This window comes from Homo sapiens, chromosome 9, assembly GCF_000001405.40.
Source record: "Homo sapiens chromosome 9, GRCh38.p14 Primary Assembly".
In the NCBI taxonomy this organism is placed as follows: Eukaryota; Metazoa; Chordata; class Mammalia; order Primates; family Hominidae; genus Homo; species Homo sapiens.
The window spans coordinates 118,584,903-118,604,958 of NC_000009.12; the positions used below are offsets into that span (position 1 = coordinate 118,584,903).

Consider the following 20,056-nt stretch of genomic DNA (forward strand, 5'->3'; position numbering starts at 1 on the left):
AAAAATTGTCCACCTCAATTGAAGATGAATTTAGTTGAGACAAAGAAAGCGACATGGCATGGGTGCATCAACAACTATCTGCAATAAGGATCTAATGAGATAAACTATGTTAAATCTTGGAGGAGTGTCTAGCACCTAATAAACACTATTATCACCATCATCAACCTCATCAACATGATTTTTTACTGTTACCTGTGCTTTTACACTTTTACTCCTTTATTTTGACACAGACTCTAGAGTAAAATTTATTTTGTTTTCATCTATGTGACGGTGAGAATACTTAGCCCAATTTTGGTTTAATGCTTAGTAATCATCATTTACAAAAGTGAGTGTGTTGAAGGGAGCGGAATGAGGCAAAGACAACCAGCTTCTAGGACAATTGTAAGTTACAATCGTAACTTTGAGATTCTTAATAGTTTTCAAAAAAATGAAGACTGAGAAGTTAAAAAGGGAGGCAAAACTATATATATAAATGGAGGAAAATAAAGAAAGTTTGTATATGAAAAAGTTAAGTGATACAATTTATTTTTGAGTTACTTATTATCTGTGTCTCAGACTACATCCAGTAAGGATTTAATAATGTTGCTTATAATCAAAATCTCATGAGGAATAAAATTGTTAACATTTATTATAGAAAACATTTATTATAGGAAAAAATTTATTATAGAAAAAAATGCATCCAAAAGGAAGAGCATATGAATATATGAGAAATCTTAGGCTAATATAATTACTATTGTATAGTTTTTGCACTGGTTATCCAGTGATATGGCCTGGTTCTGTGTCCCCACCCAAACCTCATCTTGAATTGTAATCCAAATTGTAATTGAAATTGTAATTCCCACATGTTGGGGGAGAATACTCATGAAAGGTGATTAGATCACGGGGGCGGTTCTCCCATGCTGTTCTGATGGTGAATTCTCATGATATCAGTTGGTTTTATAAGGGGCCTTTCCCCACTTCGCTCAGCACTTCTCTCTCCTGCTGTCATGTGAAGAAGCACATGTTTGATTTCCCTTCCACCATGATCGTAAGTTTCCTGAGGCCTCCCCAGCCGTGTGGAATTGTGAGCCAATTAAATCTGTTTCCTTTATAAATTACCCAGTCTTAGGGTATTTCTTCATAGCAACATGAAAACAAACTAATGTAGTAAGTTAGTACCAAGTAGTGGAGCACTGCTATAAAGATATCCAACAATGTGACAGCGACTTTGGAACCGGGTAATAGGCAGAGGCTGTAACATTTTGGCAGGCTCAGATGAAGACAGGAAAATGTGCGAAAGTTTGAAACTTCCTAGAGACTTGTTGAATGGCTTTCACAAAAATGCTGATAGTGATATGGACAATGAAGTCCATGCTGAGGTGGTCTCACATGGACATGAAGAACTTTTTGGGAACTGGAGTAAAGGTCACTCTTGCTATGCTTTAGTGAAGACACTGGTGGCATTTTGCCCCTGCCCTAGAGACCTGTGGAACTTAGAACTTGAGAGAGATGATTTAGGGTATCTGGCAGAAGAAATTTCTAAGCAGTAAAGCATTCAACAGGTGACAGAACATGAAAGTTTGGAAAATGTACAGCCTGGCAATGTGGTAGAAAAGAAAAACCCATTTTCTGGGGAGAAATTCAAGCCGGCTACAGAAATTTGCATAAGTAATGAGGAGCCAAATGTTAATCACCAAGACAATTGGGAAAATGTTCCAGGGCATGTCAGAGACTTTCATGGCAGCCCCTCCCATCACAGGTCCAAGGCCTAGGGGGAAAAAATGGTTTCTTTGGCCAGGTGCAGGACCCCTCTGCTGTGTGCAGCCTAGGGACTTGGTTCCTTGTGTTCCAGCAGCTCCAACTCTGGACAAAAGGGGCCAAGGTGTAGCTCATGCCATGGCCTCAGAGGGTGCAAGCCCAAAGCCTTGGCAGCTTCCATGTGGTGTTGGTCTCGCAGATGTGCAGAAGACAAAAATTGAGATTTGGGAACCTGTGCCTAGATTTCAGAGGATGTATGGAAACACCTGGAAGTCCAGGCAGAGGTGTGCTTGAGGGGTGGAACCCTCATAGATAACCTCTGCTAGGGCAGTGCAGAAAACAAATGTGGGGTTAGAGCCTCCCCACAGAGTCCCCACTGGGGCACTGCTTTGTAGAGGTGTGAGAAGAGGGCCACCATCCTCCAGACCCCGGAATGGGAGATCCACTGACAGCTTGCACTGTGTGCCTGAAAAAAGTTACAGACACTCAACACCAGCCTGTGAAAGCAGGCAGGCAGGAGGGGGCTGTACCCTGCAAAGCCACAGGGAAACAGCTGCCCAAGGCCGTGGGAGGCCACCTCTCTTGCATCAGCATGACCTGGATGTGAGACATGGAATCAAAGGAGATCACTTTGGAACTTTAAGAATTAATGACTGCTCTATTGGATTCTAGGCTTGCAGGGGCCTCTAGCCCCTTTGTTTCAGCCAGTTTTTCCATCTGGATTTTGTGCATTTATGCAATGCCTGTAGCTCCATTTTATCTTGAAAGTAACCAGCATGCTTTCGATTTTACAGGCTTCTACACAGAAGGGACTTGCCTTGTCTCAGATGAAACTATGGACTTGGACTTTGGGGTTAATACTGAAATGAGTTAAGACTTTGGGGAACAGTCAGGAAGGAACAGTCAGGAAGTCGTAATTGTGTTTGGAAATGTGAGAAAGATGAGATTTTGGAGGGGCCAGTGACGGAATGATATGGTCTGGCTCTGTGTCCCCACCCAAATCTCCTCTTGAATTGTAGTCCCCATGTGTTGAGGAAGGCACCTTGTGGGAGGTGATTAGATCATGGGGGTTATTCCCTAAGCTGTTCTCCTGATAGTGAGTGAGTTATCACGAGATCTGATGGTTTTAAAAGGCCTTTCTCCACTTTGCTCTGCACTTCTTTTTCCTACCTCTATGTGAAGAAGGATGTATTTACTTTCCCTCCTGCCATGATTGTAAGTTTCCTGAGGCCTCCCCAGACATGCAGAACTGTGAGTTAATTAGACCTCTTTTCTTCATAAATTACCCAGTCTTGGGTATTTCTTCACAGCAGCATGAAAACGAACTAGTACATCCAGTGACCAGGAAAACTAGGAATTGACTCGATGGGATAGCAAGCTATTATTAAAAGAACCAAAGTATTGGGGGATCTTGGTTTGAGACCTAGGTTTCCATTGGTAAAAAGTGAGCTATTGGGTAAGTCACTGTATCCCATCCAGCCTCATTTTTTCATATGTCATGAGGTTATTGGAATATCGATGAAAAGAGTTAAACTCTAAAATATTTTAAGAGATATTTATTCTGAGCCAAATGTGAGTGACAATGGTCCATGACACAGATTTTAGGAGGTCCTAAGAACATGTGCCCAAGGTCGTTGGGGTGCAGCTTGGTTTTATAGATTTTAAGGAGGCATGAGATATCAATTAAATACATTTAAGGAATACATTGGTTTGTTCCAGAAAGGCAGGACAACTTGAAGCAGGGGTAGGGGGAAAAGGAGGCTTCCAGGCTATAAAACATTTTCTGGTTGACAATTGGTTGAGTTTTTGTCTAAGGACCTGGGATCAATAGAAAGTAAATGTTCAGGTTAAGGTAAAAGATTGTGGAGACGAAGGTTCTTTTGAAGTCTCATAGCCGCTGCCCTTAGAAACAATAGATGAAAAATGTTTCCTATTCAGATCCTTTAAAGGGTGCTAGACTCTTAGTTAATCTATTCAGAATTGGAGGGGCCTGGAAGGAAAAGGTCTAGCTATGTTAATAGGGATTCCTTACAGATGTGAATTTTCTCCCACAAAGGACGGCTTGCAGGGCCATTTCAAAATGTGACAAAAAACATGTTTTGGAGGTAAGATATTTTGATTTTCTTCCTTGTCTCATAATGTTATGCCAGAGTCAGCCTTGAAAAATAAGTCACAATATGTAGGGTTAAATGAAACCCATCTGATGAGAATTTGTGGTTTGTAGGTCATGACTCCCCAGACCCTTTAGATAGGAATTTGGGCAAGATACAAAAAAAAAAATTAGAGTTTATATTTTTTGGTAACTTATCACCCTTATTTCTCTAATAAAATATTAGCCAGATTATAATTTATCAAGGGTAAAAATAGAGCTTGCAAGTTGAAGAGGACATAGGGTCCTTACATCTCTTTTACACGTTGTGACAATCTCAACATCATATCCAAAGATTCTCAGTTACAATAGCATTGGTCTTTATGATACAAAATTCCTTCATTAATGATGATAAATAATATATATTTATATATTTCTCACCATTGAGAAATATGTCCACAGCCAGGTATAGTGGCTCACGCCTGTTATCCCAACACTTCAGGAGGCCAAGGTGGGTGGATCACTTAGGATCAAAAGTTTGAGGCCATCCTGGCCAACATGCTGAAACCCCATCTGTACTAAAAATACAAAAAAAAAATATAGCCGAGCATGGTGGCAGGTGCCTGTAATCCCAGCTACTTAGGAGGCTGAGGCAGGAGAATCACTTGAACTCAGGAGACAGAGGTTGCAGTGAGCCGAGATGGTGCCACTGCACTCCAGTCTAGGTGACAGAACTGGACTCTGTCTAAAAAAAAAAAAAAAAAAAAAAAGAGAGAGAGAAATATGTCCACAATATGTTATTTATTTATTTATCTTATCAGAAAATCAAGATACTGTTGTGTAAAGCTCAAAACAAATGTCTTAGGTCTTATGCCAAGGGGTAAGTGTACAGTTGTGAAAGAGGCAGACACGCTTCTCATATTGTTGCGTCTCACCATAAAGACAAAATATTGGCCAAGTAATTCAAAGTGTTGTAAGAGCTAAAAATTATCATGGATACTCTTTACTATACTCTATCCAACATAGGCTACGAAAGAAAGATATGTACAATTTTAAGCAGAATAATTTTAAGTTCAGCACTGGTAGCTTTTTTTCCCCATAAGACAAAGCATAGCATTTTGTCAGTATAAAACGATTGCCCAGCAGAATTTCTAGAAGTATTCAGGGTGAAAATCAGTTCAGGTTAATGCCTACCATAATAAGTCAAGGTGTTCAGGGGTCAAGTAAGAAGACAAGTTTCTATCATTATAGTCTTTCCAAAGCTAAGCACCGTCTTTACCAGTTTAGCTCTAATAAACAGCACAGTGCCTGACACATGGTACCTAATAGGTTATGTCTGTTTCTGATTTTGGTTTCTTTAAATGAATAGTAGCTATTTTGAGAAACTGCAACTTGTGAAAATTAGTATTGATGCAATTAAAAAATTATATGAGACTAGGAAAAGGAAGTAAAGATAGCATGTTTACACAAATGAGCATATGAAGAGCTCTGAATCTCCAAATCCTTGATGTAAGAAGAGTAAAGAGCTGCTAATATACAGTCATGTGATGTGATAGGATTATCAAAGATTTGAGTAACCAGAAATATTTATACAGTCATGTGCCACATAATGATATTTTGGTCAACAGACAGCGTGTATGACAGTGGCTTCATATGATTATAATGGAGTTGAAAATTCCTGTTACTTAGTGACCTTGTAGACATTTAATGTTGTAGCATAATGTATTACTCATGTGTTTGTGGATATGCCAGAGTAAACAAACCTACTATGTTGTCAGTCATATAAAAGTATAGCAAATATAATTATGTGCACTACTTAATACTTGATAATGACAATAAACAACTATGTTACTGGTTTATGTACTTATTATACTATATTTTTATTGTTATTTTAGATTATACTGTTTCTACACACACACACACACAGACACACATATATATAAAAAGTTAACTGTAAACAGCCTCAGTCGGGTCCTTTAGGAGGTATTCCAGAAGAAGGCATTTTTATCATAGGAAATACAGGGGATGACAGCTCCATCCATGCTGTTGCACCTGAAGACTTTCCAGTGGGACAAGATGTGGAGGTGGGAGAGAGTGACATTGATGATCCTGACCCTGTGTAGGGCTAAACTAATGTGTATGGCCATGTCTTAGGCTTTTTTTGTTTGTTTTCTTTTTGTTTTTGTTTTTCTTTTTGTTTTTAAGATGGAGTCTCACTCTGTCAATCAGGCTGGAGTGCAGTGGCACAAGCTCGGCTAATTGCAACCTCCGCCTCCCAGGTTCAAGTGATTCTCCTACCTCAGTCTCCAGAGTAGATGGGGTTACAGGCATGCACCACAATGCCCAGATAATTTTGTTTTTTGTTTTTTGTTTTTTTGTAATTTCAGTAGTGACACGATTTCTCCATGTTGGTCAGGCTTGTCTCCATCACCAGATCTCAGGTGATCAACATGCCTTCGCCTCCCAAAGTGCTAGGATTACAGGTGTGAGCCACCACACCCAATCCGTGTCTTAGATTTTAACAAAAAAGTTTAAAATGTAAAAAAAAAAAAATTAAAAATTGGGAAAAGGGTATAGAAGGATATAAAGAAAAAATTATGTAGCTGTACAGTGTGCTTGTGTTTCAAACTAAATGTTATCACAGAAGAGTCAAAAAGTAAAAATATAAAAAGTTTATGAAGTAAAAATATTACAGTAGGCTAAGGTTAATTTATTATTGAAGAAATGTGTTTTATAAGTTTAGTGTATCCTAAGTGTGCAGTGCTTATAAAGTTTATAGCAGTGTGCAGCGATGTTCTACAATTTCACATTCACTCATCACTCACTCACAGACTCACCCAGAGCAAATTCCAGTCCTACAAGCTCCATTCATGGTAAGTGCCCTATACAGGTATACCACTTTTTAACTTTTATCTGTATTTCTACTGTACCTTTTCTACGTTTAGATAAACAAATGCTTACCATTGTGTTGTAATTGCCTACAATATTCAGCACAATAACAGGCTGTACAGGTTTGTGGCCTAGAAGCACTAGGCTATACCATAGAGCCTAGGAGTGTGGTAGGCTATACCCTGTAGGCTTGTGTTATACACACTCTGTAGGCTTATGTTATACATACTCTATAATGTTTGCACAACATCAAAATCCCCTGACAAATTATTCAGAAAGTATCCCTGACATTAAGTGATGCATAACTCTGTGTATGAGTGTATTTATAAATATATGCACACACATACATGCATGTATACAGGTATTGTGTATATATATATATACAGAGTATTATATATATAATACACTGTGTGTGTATACACACACACACACTTATACTCAAGGAACCCAAGGGCGGCTACACTCACTGTGATACAAACCCCTGAAACTATTTTTTTAATGTACAGCACAAAATAATAAAAAAGAAAAAAAAGTGTGCACTCATATATAGCTAGATACCTAACTGCACACAGAAAGGCCAGGTATGTGGGCATTCATGATGGAGATGCTGAAGGAGTTTTGCCTCACTAATTTGCCCATTATTTCACAGACATTCATTGAGCACCTACTCCATGTTACACACTGGAAAGCAGTGGAGATTAAAACAGCAAGTGCCACCATCACCCCATTCTCAGTGCTGCTCTGCTGTTAGATGGAACCTTTATCAAGTGTCAGCAATGGGACCTGGCATTTATCAGGGTGGGTGCTGCGCTCTGCTCTGCTGACAGGGTAAATTCAATACATGTCATCCCCACTGTGCTAAGATGTTTTAATGGCTTGCTCTTTCTTCTTTCCATCACCCAGGCAACTTTGTCTTTCTTTTCTCTTCAGTCCCTTTCTCCCATCCCCCAATTGCTCCCCTTTCACATTTTGGGTTCCCCTTTGCACAAGTTGCCTATGTTTGTGACTTTGAAGGAGTCACTAATTCTCTCTGTTTCTGCATACCCATCCATGAAATGTGGTAATTGACTAAATTATCCCTGATGTCTTACGCAGCTCTTAGTGCTATGCTAGCATTGTAGAATTCTGGTTTGAATTCTTCCTAAAAAGCAGAGCCTGAGACACGGGCCTTTGTGGAGGTAGTTTATTTGGGGTCATTTGCTCCTGTGGTACATGATGGATGGCCTGAGAAATAAACCAGGGAAGGTTTATTTCCAAGCCACAGGCTTGGAGGATTAGTGAAGTGTAAATTGGGAAAGAAGAAAAGCAGCCAATCCAAGGTTACTGAGCTGATTACAACTACAGAAAAACTGGAGCTTAATCCTGTTTGTGATATTTCAACAGCTGTATGGAATGTGCCTTAGAAATCTCTGAGATTGGAAAAAAGAGAATACTTACCTACTAGTTCCTGCCCATTGGTAAAGCATTGTTCCAGGAAATGTTAACACCCTATCTGTTCCCAGTGTGTGCAGACATCAGAATGGCTGATCAAGCTCTTACGGTAGATCCATGTGATTGTGCCAGATAAGCCCTGGGAGAAAAAGCAAGATATATGCAGTGCAGCCGAGATCAGGTGCTATTAGGCTACACCTGAGTACAGCTGGTTGCTATAGCAAAGACTAGAGAAAAATTGGTAGAGTAAGAGAATATGAAAGGAAAATATATGTGCAACAAAGAAGCCATTGCATTCCTCAATGTTGTCTAATGCTGATATCAAGAATTTTTGTCAAATCAGCTTTACCAGGGCACTGAACATATGGGGACTATGTCAGGAAATTTCGATATCCAACATTTCTACAAACGCACAGAATTGTTGTGGGCATGGGCTCCATTGCCCAACTTCTTCCCAGTTCCCACCTAGGTTCCTCATAACATTGATAACGATTATCAATGTGCCAGGCAATGTATTAGGCACTTTAAACATAATGTCTTTTCTAATCCCTAAATCAGTAGGATCCTATCATCAGGTTAGTACCTATAATCCCATTTTCCCATTTTACAAATGAGGAAACTAAGGCTCAGGAAAGGGAAGTGACTTTCCTCAATTTACATTACCCATGAAGACCTAAATTGAAATCCATATATATATATATATATATATATATAGCACAGGCTATTTCCAGTAGTTGAAACTATCTCAATGGACACTTGGGTTTAGACAGGGTGTATGCCTCAGTTCTAGGTCGATTATATCTCTGCCTTATCTGATGACTAATCTTGAACTCCAACTTGCTTGGCTATAGCCTTGATACCCTGCTTAGTTACTTACCAGAGACTCCAGCTGCTTGGACCTCAAACACTAGTCCAGGTATATTTTATACCAAATACTAACTCAATTTTGAACTGGAAGCCTCATAATTTTTTACTTATGCTTTTTCTCATTGGAGACCAGTCTACAACCAAGTCAGTACCCCAAACTAACTCTTGTACCTTCCAGTTTCTCGATTTGCACCTTTCCTTCTGTTGTTTCATTTTTCTCTTTATACTTTTTTCTTTCCGTAATCCATTCCAATTAGCAGATTAGGGTAAGGCACAGCAGAGAATAACAGGAATGGCTAAACTGGGAGATAAATTTGACATTATTTAAAATTAATCAGAGATTCAGGGAAGTTAATATTTAAAGAGAAAATAGCACATCTTAGTCTCCTAGCCTATCTTAGTCTATGCAGGCCTCTATAACAAATATCTTAGACTGCATAATGTATTAACAATAGATATTTATTGCTCACATTCTGGAGGCTGAGAAGCCCAAGATCAAGGTGCCAACAGATTTGGTGTCTAGCGAGGGCTTGTGCTTCATAGATGGTGCTTTCTATGTGTCCTTACGTGACAGAAGAATAAAAGAGCCGCCTCGAGTATCTTTTGTAAGGCCACTAATTCCATTCATGAAAGCACAACCCTCATGATCTAATCACCTTCTAAAGGCTTCACCTCTTAATCCTACCACAATGGGGATGAGGTTTCTACATGACTTTTGGAAGGACACATTCAAACCACAGCACAGCCTTTCTGTGCACTCATTCCCTCCCATAATGTACTTTTTTTCCTTCTAAGCTTCTTGACAATAGATCATTCAGTGCATTGGACAATCATCACTTATCTACACTTGTATAATGTAATGATCTCTTCCCTAGCCGTTGTTGACTGCGCTAAGGATCAGATCCTGATTCTAGCTAAGCTGTTCTTGGTATAGAAACAATGAGGGAAAAGGAAACTGGAAGAGGCAAGTAGGGGGTATCTGTTTTTCATGTGACAGGTAGGTGAATGTAGGTGGAAGGTGCAAGCATCTTCCACTATGTAAATGGATAAACAAAGATTACTGGTCTAATGAGAATGAGGAAGGAAACACGTTTTAATTATTTAAAAAACAGTGATAAGTGGAGAAAGATTTCAATCAGCCCTAAATGCTATGCCCAATTATCTTCCTGCACCCTTGACCACCCACGTCCCTGTCATTTGACTTATTAAAGTTACTGAATTATTTACCTGATCCATTCTCCCTTTTTTAAAAACTGGAATTATTAAAAGACATGCCTGCACTATGTTTTAAATGACATACAATTCTCTGCTTTCTGAATTTCTTTCATTTCCCAGTAGATCCAGTTGTTATAAAGTGCTTCCTTATGTTGAACGTAAAGCAGTTTCCCTGTACTTTCCACTCGTCAACTCTATTTCTGCTCTTTGGGACCAAATAAAACCAGTAAAATCCCTTCTGTTTCTACCCGCCCATCCGACATCCGAAAGAAAGCATCCCAACTCTTCTCCCCATTCCATGAAGAAGTTTTTTTTTTCTAGGCTAAAAGTGCTCAGGTTATCTTTTTGTGTGTGTGTGTGCCATAGTTTAGAATCCCATGGGTTATGCTGGTCTCTTCTATCTGGTTATAATACAAATTGTTAATCTCTCTCTCCATGTCTAGATTCGGCTGGCTCAATATGTAATGATGTGGCCCTGTTACGTGCCTGTCTCTATGGTCCTACTTACATTATAAATAATCACTGCCTTGTGATTCTAACATCAAGAAGCTACAGTACTACATGGTGGTATTATGTTTGACATCAGACATGGCCCAACAGGGGAGAAGAATATGCTTCAACAGTTAGATGATTATGTTAATACAAACTGGGATTTTTTATTATGTTTGTCTCTTTCAAGACTGAATTTGATGTGATTGCTTCTGCTGATTCAGTACTAGGTAATGGAGGCTGAAATGTATTCCTCAGAAGATCCTCCGGGAACAGCCACCTGGGACTGACAGAGAGAGTCACTGGGTGTCACTGTTGAGTCATACAAATGCACTGGCCGCTTGCTTATAGAAGTCTGGCTCCTTAAAGAAGCTAGGAGAAGGAGGTTTGGGGTGGCTGCCTGTCTCCTCCTGGTCTGTGTCTCTTCACTAGGGTCAAGATAGAGCATCCCTCTCCCAGATTTTCCCTAAGAAGTATTGAGTCAGATGTGCCCATGTCAGTGTGGGCTTTAGCTGCTGTTTAATGAGTTGATCCATCCTTGATCTGCCTGATGGTGCTGATAGGGGTCTGCTTTTATGTATGTATGTAGTAAGTGATCACACCCCCACCCTAGTCAAAGAGGTCTCCCCCGCATACCCAGGACTTGCTGAAACTTATAGCTCTCTTCAGAGCAGATAAGCCCTTCCATTCCACTGTTTGTTCCAGATTCAGACTGTGATTTCAGTCTCAGTCAAGGGTCAGTGGCACATTTCAGGTTTTTTTTTTTTTTAATGGGAGTACTGATTTTGATAGAAATAAAGACAGGTGGAATTGTAGGCATTAGCACTTTGAAGGGCAAGGAGAAAAATAGATCAAAGGAGAGACGGGCCAAAGGTTACTAGATCAAAGGTAGATAGATCAAAGGTTACTAGAGACGGCTGAGTGCTCTAGTAACCTTCTATCCAAAAACTGACCCTGTTACTAACCCAGCCTGACCCACACATAGGCCATGAACTTTTGTTACCTCAGTGACTAAATATCCTTCATGAGATGGTCACTCAGGTTCATTGGCAGGTGTTCTCAATCCCTTTAGGTGAACGTCATGAAAATGCAAATACCAAAATACCACATCCCTAAAACTTTTTCTGATGTCTGAGGAAAGCCCTAGGCATCAGTATATTTATAAACCCCACATGTCACTAAGGAATTTCTAAAGCACATTCTTCCAGTCGTGATTGACTGATTCTATGCTTTCTGAAGATTGCACATCACATTACTTTTTTTAAAATTTTTGCTTCCTCTGGAATTCAGTACTGAGTTACATCCCAAGCAATCCCTCCAAAATGCAAATATGATTGACCCTCTGCTCTCTCCTTTTAAACTCCCGAATGTCTAATCACCACACATAAGTCAAGTGTAAAGACTGTGCCCTGTTACTCATGTGCTTCCTCATTGGCCCCTGCTTATTCCAGGACAGAACAGTTTCCATCCACACACTGGTTTAAGCCAGGGGCTCCCCACTTGGCTGCACACTGAAACTACCTGTGGAGCTTTTGAAAGCACTGATGTCTGAGTCCCATCCCCAGGACTTCTGCTTTACTGGTAGGGAAAGAAGCTCAGGCATCGTGAGCTTTCAAAGCTCCTCAGGTGATTCTAATGGAACACAAAGCTTTAGAATCACTATTCTTTGGTTTTCTCCCTTCTAGAACACACATTTTCTTATCCTCCTTTGGCCAAGCCATAGCTGTTAATCCTTCTTGACTCAACCCACTGATCATCTCCTTGAAGAAATCAACTCTGAACATACTCCTCTAGTCAAGTTAAAGATTTTTCTTAGGGATTCCATAGTTTCTTGTGCTTACTTAGGCTATTGTATCAGAAATATCTATATGTCTATTTTTTTACCTCTAGACTATAAGCTTATACTGGGTAAGTGAATTAATAGAACATGTATGTCATTGTGTGCCCAGTGCACAGCACAGAACTTAGCACCTATTAAGTGCCCAGGAAATATTTTGTAGGCTGGAACTACTGTTAATGGAGAATGCAAATGAGGTAATAAATGAATAATCAGTGACAATGAAAATAATTAAACTTTACTGTGTATATAGCCAGACACAAAGTATTACAGAGTCGTTACCTTATTTTACATTCCCAAAAATTCCCATTAGAAAGAGTGATCTCCATTTTAGCTTAAGAAGTTCAGGTTTAGAGGTGGTAAGTAGATGCTGTGCAGGCATAATTTGAAGGCTGGTCTGTCTGACTTCACTTTCAGTCACTTTACTGATTGCCTCTAAAAATAGAAAGGGAAGGATATCTAACCGATTTTCTCATTGGAGTTTTTACTGGGTTCTTTTTGCCAGGCATTATATTGGCTCTTTAAATACTTCATCCTACTTAACCCACACAACAACTCTATAAATTAGTATTATTAGTCCCATTTAATTGATAAGAAAACCAAGCCTCAGAAAGAAGCAAAGTAATTCAGGCAAGCCCATATGGCAAGGAAGTAACAAATGCTATATGAAATCCTGTGGCTCTGTGCTTGTCTGTCTTTAATATTCAGAGTTGCTCACTATGCTACAATTGCCTTATAATAGATGAGGAAGAAGAAAGGCAGAGGAGCAAGTAGGAGAGAGAGAGAGAACTGACTCCAAACATAGATCAGATACAAAAATGAATTTTTGGACTGACTTTGATAAGGACAGAATACCTCAAAGACAGAATTCTTTGTCTCTATTCTTTAGCAATTTTCCCCCAAGAGTCACTGGGACAAACGAGTAAAACAACTTTTCTTTTGAAAAGATTGGTTGCTTATTCTAAGCCTGCCAAAGATATCTGAAGTGTAACCAAATCTTTGTATTTGATGCCCTTGTGATTCCTTCATTTAGACAATTAGCACAGAATCTTACAGCCCATGAGCTTTGGTTCATGATTTTTTTTTTTAAGTGATGAGCACCTGAGGCTCACAGAGGAAAAGCTTGGCAAGGGTGACCTTGCAGAATAGTGGCCAGAACCCAGTTCTTTTTATTCCCCGTCTAGTGTTCTTTAGCCATGGGTTAACTCGGTGATTAAATATGGTTAAACATGATGAATATTTTAAAAGCTACTTGGAGTTTCTTGGTTCTAAAGTACTCTGAATGCCAAACGCAACATATTTTTATTGCCTATTTCTACCACATAACAAGGCCATTTGCTCTGTGGGATCTTGGTAATAGGGATAAGTAGGAACAAACAGAGGTAAGGTACAGATTCTTTTTCCTCACTAATGTGAACAGATGGCTTACAATGGGAAGTGGATACTGGCTGCAAAGATGTGTGAACCACTGTCACCCTGTGAATCTTTGAGAAAGAGTGGAAGAGGCATCTGGAAATTCAGTGGTTGAGCCCTGAATAAAAAGACACGTTAGGCCTCTCAGGACCTGGTTAAAGTTGTGGGAAGAACATCAGATTGAGAAGCAAGTTACATCTAGTGCTTTCAGGATCTAAAACTTTAGAGAAGCTGATAAACGCTCCTGTGCCTATGCTGGCTGATGTGTTACATAAAATGGGAATTACAATATTTGCCAATGTGCAAGCATGTTAGGTACTTGCATGCATACATTTTCTGATGGTGGTTCTTTTAATCTGTTCTCTCTCTTCTTTCTCTATCAATAATTTTTCTTCAAGGCCTAACAGTGTTGTTATTTTATAATCTTTCACCAGTCTCTTAATAAGAAGTAATTTCTCTTCCCTCTCTTCATCCTGATGTGTGCATGTGTATTTGCTATGATTCTTAATTCAGCATGCTTTTACTTGTGATTTGCTATCAGTATATCTACCTCCTTTACTAAATAGTTAAGTTCTTCTGGGCAAGAGCTATGTTTTCACCATTCCTTTTTCTTCCAGTAAAATTACACAATTTGTTTTGCATAGAGAAAGTTCTTATTCACCATTGATTATGTCATGTTAAATTGTAACCATAGACACTACCTGTGTTCTTCCAGACATAAAGTCTAAAAACTGAGTGTCCATTGTGAGTTATTTGAGAAAATGGCTACAGAAATACTTGGAAATTTACCAGATTATCACAAAGGATATGGAGGCAGAAGCAGAAATCGTGGATATGAGACTGCTCAAAATATATAACTTTAGGCAATCAATTCACTTTACTGGGCCTCAATTTTCTCATCTGTAAATTGGGGATGATAGTACTTGTCTTAACTACTTCCCAGTATGATTGTAAGGATGGCATGAGATAACATTTAAAGGCATTTTGCAAACTATATAGCACTATAGATAGGTCAAGGTTGAGTATTATTTTTATTATTGTTGTAATTGCGGTTATGTGTTACATAATGATGTTGTAGTCAACAGCAGAACACATATACAATGGTGGTCACACAAGATTATAATACTGTATTTTAATGTATCTTTTCTATATTTAAGTGTGTTTAAATACAAAAATACTTACCATAATTTATAATTACCTACAGTATTCAGTACAGTACCCTGTTGTACAGGTTTGTCGTCTGGCAGCAATAGACTATACCATATAGCCTAAGTGTGTAGTGGTCTATACCATGTAGGTTTGGGTAAGTACACCTTTGATGATTACACAATGACAAAATCATCTAATAATGCATTTCTCAGAAACTATCCTCATTGTTAAGCGATGCATGACTATATTACTACATCATAACTCTCTAAAATCTCATGTGGTTTACGTAACTATAATTCTGAACTTGGTGGAGTTTTATAGTAAAAATGGTAAATAAGAGATAACTGTATTAAAAATGGCCATGTTCTTTTGGTCTCCTTGGAAATTTCCTAATGAAACAAGAACTAAAATCTGAAATCTTTAGAATGCTAACAGAGCCAGAACCAATAAACATGTATAATCCAGGCAACCTATTGGCTACTCAGAAATAATAACAGATGAGAATGGGACTGGAGACCAAGGCAGAATGATCACTTGAGGCCAGGAGTTTGAGACCAGCCTGGACAATATAGTGAGACCCCATCTCTACAAAAAAAAAATCAGTAAAAAGAAAAAATAAGTATTCAGGTATGGTGGCTTTAGCCTGTAGTTTCAGCGACTTAGGAAGCTGAAGTGGGAGAATGGCTTGAGCCCAGGAGTTGGAGGTTATAGTGAGCGATGATGTGCCACTGTACTCCAGATGGATGAAAAAGTGAAATTCTGTCTCTGGAAAAAAAAAAATGGACTGGAAGGTATAAGAGGTAGGAGGAGTTTTCTCTTGAGCTTATATTAATCCTTGACTTCTCACAGCAACCTACAATCTTCTGATGTATTTGCCAGCAGTCTCACCTTCAGAGACGCCTCGGCCATTTCAGTGACTCTTTACCAAATTTGAACCCTGCCTTTTTGTTAGTGATCTTGAGCAATTCATTTTTGCTATCTGAATCTGTTTTCTCATCTGCAAGATGGGGGTACATACAAATAGAGACAATAGCCAGCATTTACTGAATAACTACAGAGTGTCCAACTCTGGGATGGTTTTTCTGTATCTCCCTAACAGCCAAGGATACTGCTGGGAAACTTAAATAACTTATTTTGCCATCCTGGCCCCTTTCCTCTATAAAAACATAATTGAAAACTATAATTTAAGACTGCACTGGCAAAAATACAGATATCTGGGCTGTGAATTGCTGAGAAAGGGTGGGACTTGGACTTGGACAAAGGTTTATTGGAATCCAAAGCCTGCACACTTTTATTTATTTATTTAGATTTTTTGACACGATGTCTTGCTCTGTCACCCAGGCTGGAGTGCAGTGGCGTGATCTCGGCTCACTGCAACCTCTGCCTCCCGGGTTCAAGCAATTCTCCTGCCTCAGCCTCTCAAGTAGCTGGGATTACAGGCGCATGCCACCATGCCTGGCTAATTTTTGTTTGTTTGTTTGTATTTTTAGTAGAGACGGAGTTTCACCATGTTAGCCAGGTTGGTCTCAATCTCCTGACCTCATGATCTGCCCACCTTGGCCTCCCAAAGTGCTGGGATTACAGGTGTGAGCCACCACACCCGGCCAAGCCTGCACTTTTTAACTATGAAGTAGTTAAATGACACAAATATCAGTTGCTGTAGCTATTGGTGATACATTCAGACTGCTTGGGTTTTTAAAAAAGTTCATTGACTAGGTCTTCAGAAAAAACAAAAATGAATCATTCTTGATCAGTTAATAAAAAATTGCTTGAAGGCCCCCCAGGTACCTATGTGGGAGCCAGGAAAGATAGGAATCACCCCATTGCATTCTTGAGGATATTGAGACAATACAAGCAAAGTAAGCACAAAGCATGGGCGAGCCATGGCACCTCCTTCTGCTCTGCAAAAGGCCCATTTTGTTCTTCATTAATCTATTCCAACACATTTTCCACTGTTCCAATCTTCCTCTCTCATACCCAACCACTCTCCACTAAACATATAATTCCTCTTCTCCCTTGCATGTTGCAAGGAAGTAGGGCTGGCATGGAGGCAGGGTTGCATCATGCCTTTTGTATGTCCTAGGTACTTTGCATGGGGGAACTCTTCCCCATAAAAAATATTTAAATAAATTTTTTGGCCACTTTGGTATAAACAAGGATACAATCTAGGCTGAATTCATTGTTATAGATTCAATATTATTATATATTTTCTTCTTTTTATTTAAAAACCGATCAAAATCAAAATATTTTTGTGCGCCCCTAAAAGTATTGTGAGCCTGTGCCTACTGTGCCTAATGGAAACTTCAATCCTGGGCGAAGAGCTTGGAAAACAAAATGTCATAGGTATGCATCAGTTTTCAGAAGTTTTAAATGAGTAATCTTTGAGTAAATGTAAAAACGATCCCTCTCCCCCTCTATACTTTCTTTCACTACAAACTAGAGGAGAATAATGCCCAACTTTGCTAGATTATGAAGACACTAAGTACTATAGAACAGGCTTTGAAACATAGTAAAGGATCTCATTAGTTACTGGATCCAGAGGTGATGGGTTCTCTGGATCCTATGCCTATGCTGGTGGCCAGAGGAGTGGGAATAAAATGACTGTCTGTGCCCCTAGAATCACCTGGGATGAGCACTTCTCCAAAGGGTTAAGGGAAGAGTCTTTCCTACTCAGACAAAAACAACAACAACAAAAACAAACAAATAAACAAAAAAAACCCAACTCCAATTTTTGTCACAATTTGTCACAATTGTAAGGTTCAAGCTAAAAACAGAAAGATACATTTACTTCCTACCCCCTCCCAAGGCACCCAATTAGAAATTTTACTTTAGATACATATGAATTCATTTGGATAAAATTATTCAACCAGTCACTAGTTCTTCTAATTATACTAGCCTTTTTCACATGAATATTAGGAGAGCTATTTGACAAATGCCTTGCTCAAGTGCAGATATATCTTCTCTACCAAATTTCTCTGGTCTAGTAAACTTAATATAGGAGAAAATGAGGCTAGTTTAACACAGAGGCAGCTCTGAAAATCTTATGTGGAAGATAGCAATTAATTTGGAGGGGCCGGGTACTAGACACTTTTCCTAAAGCAGTGAGCAGAGCGAGCATTCTATATTTATTCATATAAGTAACTGGAGGAGGTTGGTGGAGATTATAAGAACTTTAAGCAGTTATGGTCCTTTCAGGGCACCTCAAAATACTGCCCACAGCCAGGAGTTTTACTACATAAAACTATGCTGAGCCCTAGGAATCACTGGTTTCCCTTTAACCACTGTCAAGCTGAGCCCCAGATAATGAGAGATAAGGTGAATATGCCATCGCAGCTCTCTCAGGGACCTCTCAATCTTTCTAACAACTTATTGTTCTAGAATCATGCTTAAGATGGGTGTCAAAACCACCAGTCTCTATTTTGTCAAACTCAACATATTTCCATGTTTCGAAAATAAGAAGGACATTCATTTGTCTCTCATATTCCATCCTCTGTCTTTATCTTCTGATACACATTCCCTGATTCAGCAAAGATTACAGTGAATAGTTCAGGGATAATAGAGGCATATACAAATAGTCTCCTCCTTCACAAAGTTGCCCCCCTACCTCCCATCACGCTATAAAAAGGAGGGAATAAATAGAATTGGATTTATAAAACCTGGACTTAATTCAGGCTCCCACACTAACTAACTGGGTCATTTGAGCAAATATTAACTTTTCCGAGTTTGGTTGTCTGCAAGATGACTTAATAATAACTGATTTGTCTACCATACAGGATTTCTGTGACACCTAAATGAAATTTTGTTTATGAATGCACTTAAAGCCAGCAAATAGGTCTATTTCATAGACGGTAGAGTGCTATAATTATTGCTATTATCACTATATAGCTTTTATCTTCATAGCATCAAACATCTGACTACGAACCAGATTTCTATTATCTTCTGTTCAACAGCCTCACAGCCTAAACCACTCACTGACATTATTTGTACCTCCTGGAGAAGCATTTCAAGAACTTCACTAAATAATCTTTATTTATATTTGGCTGCTACTACTCTGGACAGAAGTTGACTGTTATTTATCTTTAAGATGCAATTTTCTTCTCTTTCTTTTAAATCTATGTTCTGTGAATGGGTCTTTTACATCAAAAAAATTGTTTTATTTTACACATCCTCCTATAGAATAGCTGACAGTATTAACTGCAATAATAGAATTTCATTATCAGAAAGAAAAGTGTTTCTGGGATGGATATCTAGTTGTGAGGAGGAGGTGGGAGGGGAATAAGAGAAGGAAGCATTTCAGATCAATATAGTCCCATTGTCTGACTTTCCCTTTCATTGGTATATCAGAAAAGAAGGCAAGCTAAAGTCCCACAAAATTAAAGGGACACATGCAAGAAGGAGAAGTACCAAATTGAGCTTTTGTTGGAAATTGTTGAGGAGGAGGGCAAATCGCCTTTCAAATCTTCAAATGCTTTTATAAAGTTCCCTTAAAACATTTTCGCTGACTTTCTTTTCTTCCCTCCTTTTTCAAATGTAAATCACATTTTGAATATTTTTATATTATTCTAAAAAATCACCTACAAGTTTATTCAGTGAAAGAACTCGAGGGAAATACAGATAAATGAAAACACATTTTTAGATGGACAAACTGTGTTAGTCATAAACAAAATCATGCAAATGAAAGCACTATATAAACTACAGCCTTTTATACATGCAAAAGTTTATCAATTGATTTGTTGATGCTTTTATATTGTGATAAATAAAATAGCAAATGTAAAGTAGTATCTGACACATAGTTAACCCCAAGTAAGTAAATATTAAATTTCTTCCCCTTTTGAGGACAAGATAGCTTCACTTGGGTCTCATCCATAGAGCAAGCACATATTAGAGAAAAATGTATCTATACATCGTTGCCAGCCTTTTTTACTTAATATATTTTACAT

The 20,056-nt window shown here is 38.7% G+C and overlaps 1 long non-coding RNA gene across 1 annotated transcript; it reads right to left on the reverse strand.

Moving 5' to 3' along the window:
- Window positions 1–8,092: 8,092 nt before the first annotated feature.
- Window positions 8,093–12,270, reverse strand: LOC105376249 (uncharacterized). Its single transcript, XR_930297.2, has 3 exons — window positions 12,239–12,270; window positions 9,185–9,314; window positions 8,093–8,285 (listed from the first exon to the last, which is right to left on the reverse strand). It is a non-coding gene; the product is annotated as an uncharacterized LOC105376249 (long non-coding RNA).
- Window positions 12,271–20,056: the final 7,786 nt, after the last annotated feature.